The sequence below is a fragment of the Homo sapiens genome, chromosome 2 (assembly GCF_000001405.40).
Source record: "Homo sapiens chromosome 2, GRCh38.p14 Primary Assembly".
NCBI classification, from domain to species: domain Eukaryota; kingdom Metazoa; phylum Chordata; class Mammalia; order Primates; family Hominidae; genus Homo; species Homo sapiens.
In genome coordinates this window covers 182,997,186-183,013,216 of record NC_000002.12, presented here as the reverse complement: position 1 = coordinate 183,013,216, position 16,031 = coordinate 182,997,186, and the positions used below count along the sequence as shown (strand labels likewise).

Genomic DNA, 16,031 nt, shown 5'->3' with positions numbered 1-16,031 from the left:
TAGGTTTAAGCTGACTGTCAAGTTGAAGAAGATTATTGAGGGATTTGAGAGAGAGAGAAAGGAATGGAATAATCATCTAGGACAGTAGGAAAATGAATTGACAGAAAAGTTTGAGTAGTATTGCTACTCAGTTGTGGTCAATGATCATGAAATCAGGTTGAGATCAGAGTCAGCAAAGTATATGCTTTTCTGCTACTGTAGGTTTTATCAGACAGTTATGAAAGAGGGAGGGAAGGGCAAGGCAGTAATTATAATGATGGGCCATTTAAAGTTAAGATGGATAAGAAAGTAGGGGGCCTGGGCACAGTGGCTCATGCCTGTAATAGCACTTTGGGAGACTGAGGTGAGTGGATCACTTGAGGTCAGGAGTTCGAGACCAGCCTGACCAACATGGTGAAACCCTGTCTCTACTAAAGAATACAAAAAAAAAAAAAAAATAGCCAGGTGTGGTGGCGTGCGCATGTTTTCCCAGCTACTTGGGGAGGCTGAGGCACAAGAATCACTTGAACCTGGGAGGCGGAGGCTGCAGTAAGCCGAGATCATGCCACTACACTCTGGGACAGAGTGAGACTCTGTCTAAAAAAAAAAAAAAAAAGGCGTAAGGGGATGAGTGACAGTAAAAAGATGGTAGAGTGAATGGATAGGAGGTCCCTCTGTGTTGAAAGAATTTGTGGAGGCAGAGTATTACAGATTTTAAGTGGGAATTATTCTCCCAGTGATGCCACCTCACTTTGTCTCCAAATCTCCCAAGAACAACAGATGTCCAAAAAGGCCAGACAGAAGCCAGGATAATTTAAACATCAGCTTTATTCCTGTTTACAGGCTTGAGAAAACTTAACATCAGCTGTCATGCCCTCTGTCAGTATGTATTCATGTACCAAAAATCATTCATGGGTACCTACTCAGAGCAGCCTCTCCTTTGACTTCCCTGTTTTGCTCAGCATTTTCACCACTCTTAGAAGTTCTGACCTTTCTTATTGTGGTCTTTATCACACTAATGTGTAGATTTTGTTTTTATTGTTACCCTTTTCATGTTATTGCCAGTTGGTGAAAACCTTTGTCTTGAAGGGAATATGGGAATTGATCATAGTAGTTTTTCACCATCTTTAAACCTTGCACCTAGAAGTTAATCAGCTTCAAAAACTGGATATTTACCTTAAAAAGAACAAAAAAGCCAACCAAACCAAAAAGAAAAAACAATTGGGAGTTCCCTGTACACGTATATACACATCCCTCACTAGACAATGAGCTTGTTTAGGGCAGGGTCAGTACATTATTCATAGTTTTTCTCAGCTTCTCCCACAATGCCTGGTAATATAATAGGTTAAGATATTTGTTGTCTGAATAATATGTTATTACAGTAACTCTTCACTTATCTGTACTTTTCATGTCACTTGCCTCTTTGAATCATATCTCAGAGTTAGGAAGAAAGCAATTCCACTTCTGGGACTTATCCGAAGAGAAATGAAAATATGTCTACCCAAAGACATGTTCATAGCAGAATTTGTTATTCATGATAGCCCCGAATTGGAAACAATTCAAATGCCTATTAACTGACGAATGAATAAACAAAATGTAGTGTGTACATTTAACAGAATACTACTCACCAATTAAAAGGAACAAACTACGATAAACGCTATAACATGAATAAGTGAAGCTAGATGTAAAAAGCTGCATATTGTCTGATTCTCTTTTATAGGAAATGTCTAGAAAAGGCAAGCTTATTGATAAAGAGAGCAAATCAGTAGTTGCCTAGGGCTTGGGAGTAACAGCAGGATTAACTGTAAATGGGCACAAGGGTTTGGGGTGATGGAAATGTTCTAAAGCTGGATAGAGTGAATAGTTTCACAACTCTAATTTACTAAAATTATTTTTCACTTATGGGTAAATTTCATGGTAAGTAAACTGTACCTTAATAAAGCTGTAAAAAACCAAATGATTTTGAACAACTAGAAATGTATTCTAGAATAAATGAAGTTTATTCAGAGAAAAGCATTTTGGTTCTCCTATGACCAAACTTGTTGAGTCCGGTTAGGCAAAATTGTAACAAGTATATTTTCTAACACACTGTACGTTAAAAGGAACTCTCATCAGGAGCAAATGATAATTGATAGAGAAATAAAAACTCTTAAGTATAGCAGGCAAGGACCATTTAATGTCAGATTATCTTGTACAAGTCAGTAGCATCTGAGGCCATCTTGACATAAATAAATCTGTATAATTATCAATTACAATGATGACATCTAATCAGTAAGAAAAGCTTGATTTATGCCTGGTCTACTGGTTTTGAAAGTAAGTTAATCACATATTAGAAAGGTTTTAAAAAATTATTAAAATTGAATGTAAAGGAACTAACCTATTTATATTTCTATTTGTAATGGAAAATAGTGCCATTAAGTGAGGTAAATTGTGTTATCATTAATGCAATGTGATACCCTTTATACAAAAATGTTACACTTGACCAACCCCACTATACCACGGTATATAATTAGTGATTTTTGTAGTACTGATGATAAAATTAATTTCAAAGTTTGCTTTAATTTGACCATCTATAGCCAGAATCTTAAATTTCCAAAAGTTTTAGCTGAGGCACATTAATGTGCTCAGGTGGTGAAATAGAAATTATTTTAATCTATATTGCTGAACTTGATATTAATTGTGTCAGTTACCTATTGCTGCATAACAGGTCACCTCTAAATTTCATGGCTTAAAACGACAGCAGCTTGTTTCTTATGATTCTGTGGGTTGACTGGGTAGTTTCTCTGCTGGTCTCACTGGTTTTAGGTTACCGCAGTGCATTCCACTGGTGCATTCTGGGGGATGGGCCCAGCTGGAACAGCAGGGATGCTGAAGTGCCCTTTCTCTATGTGATACGATATCTCAGGCTTCCTCACATACAGCACGTCAGGGCAGTGTTCCAAAAGAGCAAAATCAGAAGTTACAAGACCTTGCCCTGGACTTAGAAGTGACTCGTTGTTTCTGCTGCTTTCTGTTGGTCAAAGCAAGTCACAAGGCCAGCCAAGATGGGAAGGGTGGGGAAAATAGACAACAGTGCTTAATGGAGGCAGTAGAGTTCTATTGCAAGGAGGCATGGACACAAATTTTAAGTTTTTTTCTTTGCCTTTCAGTTCTTTAATAGAAAACTCTTTGTGCATTCCAGAATTAATTTAAACAGAAGACTAGCAGTGTGAACTTAGAGAAACATAACCTTAATTATAAAGTGAAACAGTTGAATTAGATTTTTTAGAAGTTTAAGTCTGTGTAATTGATTATAATATAATTAAATACAAATGTTTTCTTTAGCTTGTCCCTACGCTACTTTTATGTCATTGTATAGCAACTTGAATGTTGAAGTGTATTGAAGAAGTGTTTCAAGTTTTGGAATCTCATAGACCCGGATTGGCATCTTACCCTTTTCTGGTCTGTTTCTGTATCTGGAAAATGAGGACTAAAATGTATTTTGATTGAGAAGATGAAAACCATCTGGAGATGGATGGTGCTGATGGTTGCACAGCAGTGCAAATGTGCTTAAAGTCACTGAACGGCACACTTTGAAAAGGTTAACATGGCAAATTTTATGCGTATTTTACCACAATAAAAAAAGTAATGTACCTTGAAAAAGTATTAAGAGGATTCAATTTAGTATACATCTTAAACACTCAGTAATTCAGTAATGCATATTTTACTAGGCTAGTGTTAGGATAACCAACCTTGCTTGCTTGCCTGCTTGCTTGCTTGCTTCCTTCCTTCCTTCCTTCCTTCCTTCCTTCCTTCCTTCCTTCCTTCCTTCCTTCCCTTCCCTCTTTCCTGTCTCCCCCTCCCCCTCCCTCTTTCCTCCTCCCCTCCCTTCCCCTCCCCTTGTTGCCCAGGCTGGAGTACAATGGCACAATCTTGGCTCACTGCAGCCTCCACCTCCCAGGTTCAAGTGATTCTCTTACCTCAGCCTCCAGAGTAGCTGGGACCACAGGTGGCTAACCTGCCATGCCGGCTAATTTTTGTATTTTTAGTAGAGATGGAGTTTCACCATGTTGTCCAGGCTGGTCTTGAACTCCTGACCTCAGGTGATCCGCCCACCTCGGCCTCCCAAAGTGCTGGGATTGCAGGCGTGATCCTCCGCACCTGGCCTGGATACATTTTCCTAAAATATATTTACTACAGTTTCCTCAGAAAAATGCATTTTTGAAATATTTACTGCCAGTATAATCACTTTGTATATGAAAAAAGAAATACACTACAAAAGATTTTAAGTAGGAGTCTAAGGTTCTTTTAAAACATGACTATTCTTTGTGTTAATTAGAATTTTTAGGTAATCTTAAGAGATTTGCTTATATTTGATATGCATATGTCAGTCTCTATGGTTGCCACTCATTTCTTTTATGCTTTCCTTTGCTGGAAGGACATAATGTGAAGTATTTTACCCAACTTTGGGGATTTTATTCAAGGGATTAAATCAATTTAGAAACTCATTTGAGACATGAATTTATACCTACTGTCAAATTCATTTATGGCTAGCAATGAAATTTTAAAATTGGTAGTATCTACTCTCCCTCACTGAAGAGAAGTGAGGTGAGGGAGTAAGCTGTGCTCAGAAATGTTGAAGAGCACCCCAGACATGAGAAAGAACAAATGCAAAGGCTCTGCGATGGGAACATACTTGGTGAATGCAAACACAGCAGGAAGACCAATATGATAACTATACTGAGTGAGGGTGGAGGAGCATGAAAGAAGATGAGGTCTTAGAGATAGACAAGGGCTTTGATTTAGACTTTATTCTGAGGCACTGGTAATTATTTTTTTATTCTAATTGTGAGGTGAAACTGTTGGAATTAAAAAATGATTTTTGTATTGAAATAATGTTAGAGTTATAAAAACTTTGCAAAAATAGTATAGAGAATTCACCTGTATTCTTCACGTGCTGTTAAACATCTTGCATAACATCAGTGGAATCAGTTTTTTTAGGGTAGTGTGTTGCTTTAAAATGTTCACTGTGGCTGGGCGTGGTGGCTCATGCCTGTTATCCCAGCACTTTGGGAGGCCGAGGCGGGCGGATCACCTGAGAGGTTGGGAGTTCGAGGCCAGCCTGACCAACATGGAGAAACCCCATCTCTACTAAAAATATAAAATTAACTGGGTGTGCTGGCGCATGCGTATAATCCCAGCTACTCGGGAGGCTGAGGCAGGAGAATTGCTTGAACCTGGTAACAGGAGGTTGCAGTGAGCCGAGATTGTGCCATTGCACTCCAGCCTGGGCAACAAGAGCCAAACTCCGTCTCAAAAAAAAAGAAAACAAAAACAAAAAACATTCACTGTGCTGCTGCTATGTGGAGAAGATTGAAGAGGCAAGAGGAGAAATACAGAGACCAGTTAGGGTGCTACCGTAGGAGTCCACATGAGAGTTGATGACTAGGGTGGTAGCTGGGACAGTTTAGGCAGAGATTTACCCAAATAGCATCTCAGTGCACTCTTACTTTGAGCAGCCTGGCCTAGAATATCATACTAAGAATTTGAACAAAGCATTCCTTGAAACCAAACTTCTGAATTTGGTTTTTTTTTAAGAGGAACAAATGCTAGCAAAACTTAGATTAAGAAAAATAATTTATGAATAAGCAGTTTCAATAACAATAGAAGGTAATAATTGAAATGAGTGAATAAAAACTACCCACGTTCCTTTGTATTCAGTGGTTTAGCTCGTAGGCACTGATTCCTTATGGTAATTTGCCATTGCTTTTTCTTTGGAAGAATGAAATACTTTAGGATTTAGAATACATAATAAATTTCAATTTTCTCGATACTTATATTTGTGTGGAAAATGCTTCTTAATTGAACAAAGATTAATTACCAGGATTTTTCAGTATGAAGATAGGTTCTTTGCCATAAGCATGCCTGATATTTATCCTGTTTATTTCCAGTTTTTACATATTTTACTTGAATATTTAGAATAATGACCCATAGCTAGAAAGTTTAAGGAAAGCATTATACAAATTCTTTGCTAAAATATTTGCATGTATCACATGAATATGCTTTTATAAGTATTAGCGTATTGAGGCCGGGTACAGTGGCTCATGCTTATAATCCCAGCACTTTGGGAGGCCGAGGCGGGAGGATCACCTAAGATTAGGAATTTGAGACCAGCCTGACCGACACGGTGAAACCCCGCCTCTACTAAAAATACAAAGAAATTAGCTGGATGTATGGTGCCTGCCTGTAGTCCCAGCTACTTGGGAGGGTGAGGCAGAAGAATTGCTTGAACTCGGAAGGCAGAGATTGCAGTGAGCCGACATCACACCACTACACTCCAGCCTGGGCAATAGAACAAGACTCCATCCCAAAAATAAATAAATAAAATATTAGTGTAGTGAATAGAATCAATTTTTTCTCACAGTAGTACTTTTCTAATGTTCTGTTGTATAACATCAAACAATGTGTTACCTATGTTCTTAGGCCATTTTCTGCTTTTTATTTCCTATAAAACAATGTGATTGAATTAAGAAAACTTGGTTCTAGATATTAATAATTTTTGGTAGTATCTACTCTCCCTCACTTTAGGAACTAAAATGTAGCATTTTTTGTAGTTGAAGCAAGAGAGTTGTAGACACTTTTGTTCTTCATTGTTGTAGTTGACCTCTTTCACCCAGGCTTTATGGAATTTATTTTCACTAAAATGGGGAACGTGATTGCATAGAGATATTGAGAGGATTGTGTGAGAGACCTGTAAAATGTTTGGAACAATCGATGCCTGACACATAATGTATGCTCAGTAAATATCAGCTCTTATTAGAAATACTATGGGTAATAATGGGGAATATTAAAGTTTTATTATATTTATTTTGAAGAAGTGATCTGCAAGCTTCCTTTGTTATTCACTTAATATTTAATGTACAGCTTCTGGCTGTGAGGCATTGCTACATATTCTTATGTACATTATCTTGGTTAATTGTCCATGTCAGCTTCCATTTCGATGAGGAGGGTATTAGGCTAGAGATGTTAAGTCATTTAACCATGGTTGCATAATAAGGTATGCTTTCTAGCATCACCTACCAAAACATATCATCTGACACTGGTAGTCTTTGAAGTTTGTCATTATAATCCCTTATCTGATAGATGTTTGCATTGGATACTTCCTTTGTCCAGAACTGTATGATATGGACTGGGGAAATTAAAACTTGAGTTTGGTACACTGTCTAATTGTGCTGGAGATAGCTATAATAGAAGATAGAAAGTGATAGCTGCTGTTAGACATTATACATGTTTAGAGGAGGGAGATGTTAGCATTTCAGGGAAGGAGTGCAATCAGGTGCGGTTTTCTGAAAATGGGATTAGCATTTAAACTAAGTGCTTTAGGAATAGTGGGGTTGGGACATGTTTAAATGGTGGGATTCTGACATTCCAGTAGAGGAACAGTAAGAAAGCAGGAGGTGTGTATAGAAAATAGTGAATAGATTGTTTTGGCTACCGTATGTAGTGTGTGAATACATGTAGGGGAAATGTAGATTGGAAAAGTAAGTTAGGGCCAGATTGTGGAGGGCCTTGAAAGCTAGACTGTTTTGAATTTAGGCATCTAGTAGTTGTTTGATAAATGTTTGTAGCTAAGTAGAGTCTAGTTATATATGGCTTTGGGGGAAATAAAGTTGAATGAGAAATGTAGCCTATGAGATTGTATTAAAAAGGGAGATGATGGGCATGTAGAATGGTAGAAAGAACACTTTCAGAAGTAAAGAGATGAGATTTCCAATCTTGGCTCTGTCATTAAGTAGTTGTAACTTTAAGAAGGTTCTTTTAAGGTCTGTAGGTCTTAGGTTCTTAATATGGAAAATGAGGTTTGTATTTAAGACCATTTAAGGCTCATAGTAAGATGGTGACCGTATTATTTATTGTTCAGACTAGGACACTGAAGTTGGAAGGAAAGGGGACACAATTAGTAAAATTATACTAGGGCAACTAAAATAAATTGGGATTATTAAGCCCAATATAAACCAAATTATACCCTTCATATCTTACTATTATGAATGTACTTTCACCTGTTGTATTTTGAAACTCAAGTTTAAAGTACTGAAAAGCAGGAAAAAGGACTAAGACATCAATTCTAAATGTTTAATGTTGTCGAATAAGGTAATAAGTATTCACTTTATGTTTTTGGAGTAGTAATGATTAAAATGTGCATATAAACATGGAATCGTTCTGAAACAGATAATGTTGTGCAAAATAGAGTCAGCTACTCTCAGATGAAGCTAAAAATAGTCACTACAAGTATATATCTTAATTTGTCTGGTATTTAGGGGTAGTAATGAAATATTTCATTTGTGAATATTTTCTTTTTTCTTTTTTTTTTTTTGAGATGGAGTCTCATCTCTGTCACCCAGGCTGGAGTGCAGTGGCTCGATCTAAGCTTACTGCAGCCTCCTCCTCCCTAGTTCAAGCGATTCTCCTGTCTCAGCCTCCTGAGTAGCTGGGATTACAGGCATGCGCCACCATGCCCAGCTAATTTTTGTATTTTTAGTAGAGACAGGGTTTCACCATGTTGGTCAGGCTGGTCTCGAACTGCTGACCTCAGGTGATCCACCCATCTTGGCCTTCCAAAGTGCTGGGATTACAGGCTTGAGTGTGAATATTTTCTAGATAGAATTACTTCTTTAAATGTCTTCAGGGAGTGCAATATTTAGGGTGGTTTACCCTATAATAGTAGGGTCTTCCAGACTGCTGTGCTTGCTGTTTTTTTTTTTTTTTTTTTGCTTGCTGTTTTAAATAGGTTTTTCGTAGTTAAAAATATATATATATTCCTCTGATGTTAGGCTCACTGCTGTAAATTTTCTGACTTACCATAGTGGTTCAGTACAATTATGTATGGATGCATCTTCCCCCTAACGTTCCTGAGTGTAATTCAGAACTATATGGAGGCCTCAGCATTGTATGGGCTTTGATAGCAAATCTGCTATTTTGAGCCACTTATATTTTCCAGTTTTCTCATGTTCTGAATAAACTTCTCACACATTTAATGTGTGTTTACAACACCTGGGTATCTTGTTAAAGGGCAGATTCAGATTCAGTAGATCTGAGGTAGGCCTGAGATTCTGCTTTTCTAACAAGCTCCTGAATGATGTGGGAGTGGCTATTCAGTAAACTATACTCAAGAGTGTCAAGGTTCTAGATCATTTATTGGAATTCTGAGAATCTTATAGGGCATTAAAAATAGCTAGATTCTTTTAGAAATTATATCAATAGTTGATTTTAAAAGAAAAATTGGGACTTTTGTAAATTTAATTATACAGTTGATTAAAATACTATTTGTCTTTCAACATTTCCCTCTTTCATGTCTTAACTCTAGTTTTGCTTCTTTCTCATTTCTTTTTTGTTGTTGTGGTTTTTGCTTTTGTTTAATATATTATTGTGTTTTCTGGATCTGGTCAGGGAACCGTTACCGTATTTTATGTTTGTATCTACATTTTATTTTGCATGCGTAACGTGGCTTTACCTGGATGTTCTTTTTGGTAAGTTCCAAATTTATATAGCATATTGTTTTTTTGTAGTGTGAGTTGTAATGTTTTTCACCTTCTTTTCTCCCACTTCTAGTAATGTGATCATGCTCATGACTTGTTTTTAATTTTTTAAGAGTTCATTTGATACTTTTTTTCCTAACACTTTCAGATTTTCCTTAATAGTAGCGCAATTTGGTACTAATATGCTTTGATTTGTTTTATAGCCTCACACTGTCAGTTGCTGATCACTATTAGCAGTTGCTGTCTCGAGTACTTTGGTTTTTTAAAAAGCCGTAATCATCTAGAAATATTCTAAAAGCTTGTGCTTCCATATAGCAGTCATAAAAGAAGATAGTTTGTAGTAAAATTAAATACTTTTGTTCTCTATGAGCAATGCATTCTAATTTTGTTTTTACAGCAACAGCTTGCACAACTACAGAAAGAAAAATCAGAGATTCTGAAAAATCTGGCATTATATTACTTCACATTTGTAGATGTTATGGAATTTAAGGTATGTATTTTAATATATAATATTTAACACTTCAGAAGTAGATTTAAATGTTTATTAATTGTGTGAATTGCTGTGTCAGTTGTAAATAATAAAATTGAAATTCTTCCAGAACTGAAGTTTAACACATACCTTATTTGTTTGTGTTTTCTGAATTTAAACAGATTTATACAGATAAAAGATTAAAATAAGTATTTCTTTTCAGGACCATGTTTGTGAATTGCTGAATACTATTGACGTTTGCCAAGTCTTCTTTGATATTGTAAGTATCATTTTCAGAAAAATGTCCAATTATTCTGTTTCCAGAAGAGCTCAGGGGACCACTTGCTTTTCTTTAGCTAGATTATGTAACTAGCATATAAAGTTTTAGCATTATTAATTTGGCTTGTTTTATAGCTTTTTTAAAAAGTAAAGTGTGTATTCTTTTTATTTGTTTTGATTGTCACTGAGTATAAGTCTTGTACATATTGGGAAATACACGTTAACTTTAGTATTTTATTTAATAGGCCCAATTTTGAAAAGTTAAGTGGATAATATTTTCTCTGTAAAAGGCATACTTGATGGACTCTTTCTTAGTATGATAATTTTTAGATACAAGAAGTCAAAGTGAAAATTGTCTCCATTTACTTAATGGTGAACTTTAAAAAATAATTTTTTTCCTCTTTCGTGAGATTGGCACCAGTGTTCCTTATTATTCTGGCTTTTATTCTTTTGAACTGTTACCAGTTTGAATATAGTGATCACAAGCTCTTTTTCTTTCATCCATAAAATTGTGTCAGACACAAAACTGTTATCTGTAACTGTCAAATTTTAGATGTGCTTTTAGTGAAAGGAATTAGCATTTTAGAACAGGGATAAAATAAATACAGAAAATTATTAGCTCTCAATAGCTTCTATGAAGATTTTGTGTGTGTTTAAAATTTTAAGAAATAGGAAGTAGTTGAACTTGATTTTTTTTTCTCCTAGACTGTAAACTTTGATTTAACAAAGAACTACTTAGATTTAATTATAACCTATACAACACTAATGATACTGCTGTCTCGAATTGAAGAAAGGAAGGCAATCATTGGATTATACAACTATGCCCATGAAATGACTCATGGAGCAAGGTAGATTTGCATTATAAAAGTCTTTCTAAAATGCTCAGTTTGATGGATTACAACTCATTGAAATTTGATATGTCTGTTTTAAGTGACAGAGAATACCCACGCCTTGGCCAGATGATTGTGGATTATGAAAACCCTTTAAAGAAGATGATGGAAGAATTTGTACCCCATAGCAAGGTAAGAGGCAGTTGTTAGGCATATGAGAGAATGGGCATATAACATAGCATGAGGATGGATGGTTGGATAAAGGGATAATCTTGTTTTTGAAAAATACTATAATGGGATATAAGTAATAGTTATGTGTGCTTTTATCTAATTATAGACAGGGAACTAATTAATGAGATTCAGAATAGTGTATAGAGACTCAAGAATATATTGATTGATTTCATTATAGTTTTTTAGATTTTAATATAGCACTAAACAATAGGATTTACCATATGGTATTTGAGAGGGTCTGTTCTCACACTAATGGGTTTTAATAGCAATTCTGCAAATTATAGTATAATATTTGTCGAGTTACTTAACTAACCTCACGATACCTCAGTTTTCTTATCAGTAAAAATGGAATAATAATAGCACTTATTTCATATGGTTCTTATGAGAATTAAATGAATTACTTCATTAAAAAGTACAGTGTTTGATAAATTTTAACTTTATTATAGTCTCAAAAAATGACGGGTTTTATGAAAATAATTTGAAATGACTATCTTTTAAGAGATATTAAAAATAGTTCTTAATGAAATAAGTTTGGTTGTAAGTAGTCTTGTCATTATGGATTCTCTGCAGAAGGGCTGATTCACAGAATGGTAGTTTCTGAACACTTCAAGGAAATTCATAGGTATCTTATCCAGTCTCATTATTTATAGCTAAGGATTAAGGGCTGGAGCAGTATCATGACAAGGTAAGTCATTTGGTAACAATAGTGGCAAAACTAGAACTGAAGCCCAGGATACTAGAATCTTGGTCTACATTGTTCTCTTTGAATCATAAAAGTTAAACTATTTACCTTGTGTAAGTCTGTGCTTTTTTCTTTCTTTGAGACAGCGTCTCGCTCTGTCGCCCCAGCCGGAATGCAGTGGTGCAATCTCAGCTCACTGGAGCTTCCGCCTCCCGGGCTCGTGATTCTCCTGCCCCTGCCTCGAGAGTAGCTGGGATTACAGGCATGCACTACCACGCCTGGCTAATTTTTTTGTATTTTTAGTAGTGACAGGGTTTCACCATATTTCCCAGGCTGGTCTCTAACTCCTGAGCTCAGGCAATCCACCCACCTCAGCTTCCCGAAGTGCTAGGATTACAGGCATGAGCCACTGTGCCTGGCCACTGTGCTTTTTTCTTGGCATACAGTTAACACCAATAATTTTCTTTGAATTTTTTTACTCCCATGAAAATTCTGAAGAATTCTTTCCAGATTTGCATAGCTACATTATACACAAATTTATATAGGTTTTCTGTCTTGGAATTGGTTGAATCATTAGTTTGCAAGAAGCTAGTAGATGGCATCAGTTTTGAAATTTAAAAAAATCAGCATTTTAGATGGAAGTATCAGAATTCCTCAAAATACTGCACATATCATGGTCATCTCCTATCTCTAATATCAGTAGTGGTTTTTCCCCACCCGGAACTGTCTTTTCTATTCCTCTCCTCTTTTCTCTCTGGATCCATTTAGGATTTTTCCCTAATCATGTATGGTCTTGTTTTTATTTAGCTATTTTATATTTGGTTCTTTCTCCACTTAGGTGTTGAAAATTTCCTTGACAGGCTCTTGAAAATTCCAAGCTAGGCTCTCGGCTTTTTAAGTTCTATATAGGCATTAGCACATTAACAAATTCAGTATATAGTAGGTTATTGATAATTACATAGGATAATTCATTTGAATTTAGACCACTTATTTTCCAATCTTGATTTTTTTCTAATATTCCGTGATACCTTAGAATTTTGATAAAACACTATTTTTTATTTGCCAGGGTTTGTTTTCCTGTTTCTTGTTTAGATTCATGGGGTACACTTTCAGGTTTGTTAAATGAGTATATTGTGTGATGCTGGGTTTGGGCTTCTAATGATCCTGTTGCCAAAGTAGTGAACATGGTACCCAATAGGTAGTTTTTCAGTTCTTATCCCTCTCCTTCCCACTTCTGGAGTCCCCAGTGTCTGTTGTTTCTTTGTGTCCATGTGTACCCAATGCTTAGCTTCCCCTTATAAGTGAGTACAATCAGTATTTGGTTTTCCGTTTGTGCATTAAATCTCTTTTGATAATGGCCTCCAGTTCCATCCATGTTGCTGCAGAAAGACATGATTTTGTTCCTTTTTATGGCTGCATAGTGTTCCGTGGTGCATATATACCACACTCTCTTTATCCAGTCCAGTGTTGATGGGCACCTGGGTTGATTCCATGTCTTTGCTATTGTGAATAGAGCTGCAGTGAACATACGAGTGCAAGTGTGTTTTTGGTAGAACAGTTTATTTTCCTTTGAGCATCTACCCAGTAATGAAATTGCTGGGTTGAATGGTAATTCTATTTTTGGTTCTTTCAGAAGTCATCAAACTGCTTTCCACAGGGTTTGAATTAATTTGCATTACCACCAACAGTGTATAAGCATTTCCTTTTCTCCAGTAGCCTTGCCAACATCTGTTATTTTTTTGACTTTTTAATATTTGCCATTCTGACTGGTGTAAGATGGTATCCCATTTTACCAGTGGTTTTGATTTGCATCTCTCTGATGATTAGTGATGTTGAGCATTTTTTCATATGTTTGTTGGGTGGTTATATGTATTCTTTTGAGAAGTGTTTATTGACGTCCTTTGCCCACATTTTAGTGGGGTGGTTTGATTTTTTCTTGTTGATTTAAGTTCCGTATAGATTCTGGATATTAGTCCTATGTTGGGTACATAGTTTGCAATTATTTTCTCCCATTCTGTAAGTTGTCTCTTTATTTTGCCTTTGCTATTCAGGCTGTTTTTTGGTTCCATATATATTTTAGAATAGATTTTTCTAATTATATGAAAAATGACAGTAATTTGATTGGAATAGTGTTGAATCTTTAAACTGCTTTGGGCATTATTGTCATTTTAATGATATTGATTCCTCCATCCCATGAGCGTAGAATGCTTTTCCATTTATTTGTGTTATCTGTGATTTCTTTCAGCACCGTTTTCTAGTTCTTCTCTTAGAGAGGTTTCACCTCCTTGGTTAGGTGTATAGGTGTATTCCTAGTTATTTTATTTTTTTGTGGCTATTAGTAAGTGGGATTGCTTGCCCTTCCTTCCTTCCCCCCTTTTTTTTTTTTTTTTTTTTTTTGTTGGAGTCTTACTCTGTCACCCAGGCTGGAGTGCAGTGGTGCCATCTTGGCTCTTGGCTCACTGCAACCCCCACCTCCTGGGTTCAAGCAATTCTCCTGCCTTTGCCCCCTCAGTAGCTGGGATTACAGGTGCCTGTCACCACGCCCAGCTAATTTTTGTATTTTTAGTAGAGATGGGGTTTCATCATGTTGACCAGGCTTGTCTCAAATTCCAGACCTCAGGTAATCAGCCCGCCTTGGCCTCCCAAAGTGCTGAGATTATAGGTATGAGCCACCGTGCCCGGCCAGGATTTTATTCTTGAGTCCTCAGCTTGAATGTTATTAGTGTATAGAAATACTGCTAATTTTTGTATGTTGATTTTTGTATCCTGAGACTTTGCCAAAGTCATTTAGTTTTCTAGGTATAGAATTATATTGTCAATGAAAAGAGATACTTTGACTTCCTTTTTTTCAATTTGGATGCCTTTTATTTCTTTCTCTTGCTTGATTGCTCTGGCTAGGACTTTCAGTACTATGTTGAATAGAAGTGGTAGGAGTACAGACATGGTAGGAGTACAGACACCCTTGTCTTGTTCCAGTTCTTACGGGAAAGCTTCTAGCTTTTGCCCATTCCGTATATTGGCTATGGGTTTGTCATAGATGGCACTGCTTATTTTGAGGTGTGTTCCTTTGATGCCTAGTTAGTTGAACATTTTATCGTGAAGGGATATTGGATTTTATCGAATGCTTTTTCTGCATCTATTGAGATGATCATATGGTGTTTTAAAAATTTTTGTTTATGTGGTTAATCACATTTATTGATTTGCTTATGTGGAACCAACCTTGCATCCCAGGAATAAAGCCCACTTGATCATGGTGAATTAACTTTTTGATGTCCTGCTGGATGTGGTTTGTGAGTATTTTGTTGAGGATTTTTGTGTCTATGTTCATCAGGGATATTGGCCTGTAGTTTTCTTTTTTTGTTGTTGTATTTTTGCGAGATTTTGGTACCAGGATGATATTGGACTCATAGAATGATGAGGAGCCCCTCCCCCTCAACTTTTTGAAATAGTTTCAATAGGATTGTATGTCTGGTAGAGTTCAGCTGTGAATCTATGTGGCCTCTGGCTTTTTCTGGTTGGTAGGTATTTTATTACTGATTCAATTTGATTACTCATTGGTCTGTTCAGGATTTCTGTTTATTCCTGGTTTCATAAAGCAAATCTCAATAAATTAAAATCATGCCAAGCATCTTCTCAGACCATACTGGAGTAAAAATAGAAGTCAATACCAAGAGGAATTCTCAAATCCACACAAATACTTGGAAACTAAACAATTTTATCCTGAATGACTTGGGTAGATAATGAAATTAAGGCAGAAATAAAAAAATTCTTTGAAACAAATGAAAATAGCGACACAACATACTGAAACCTCTGGAATGTGGCAAAAGCAGTGTTAAGAGGAAAGTTTATGGCACTAAAACGATGATAAAAATAGCTCAAATTAATAACCTAACCTTGCACTTACAAGAACTAGAAAAAGAAGAATGAACTAAACCTAAAGCCTGCAATGAAAATAAATAACCAAAATCACAGCAGAGCTAAATGAAATTGAGACCCAAAAACCATACAAAGGATCAGTGAAACAAAAAGTTAGTTTTTTGAAAGGA

General features: G+C 36.1%; 1 protein-coding gene across 4 annotated transcripts in view; it reads left to right on the top strand.

Moving 5' to 3' along the window:
* NCKAP1 (NCK associated protein 1) overlaps positions 1–16,031 on the top strand; it is a 129,343-nt gene that overhangs the window by 25,241 nt on the left and 88,071 nt on the right. For 2 of the 4 annotated variants that reach the window (NM_001437266.1, NM_001437267.1), the window contains 4 exons: positions 9,898–9,984; positions 10,187–10,243; positions 10,948–11,090; positions 11,174–11,264. In NM_001437266.1, the coding sequence (NP_001424195.1) occupies positions 9,898–9,984; positions 10,187–10,243; positions 10,948–11,090; positions 11,174–11,264 (378 nt within the window). Of the gene's footprint in view, positions 1–9,891; positions 9,985–10,186; positions 10,244–10,947; positions 11,091–11,173; positions 11,265–16,031 lie in introns of all 4 variants that reach the window. The other 2 variants (NM_013436.5, NM_205842.3) reach the window with 1 other exon arrangement.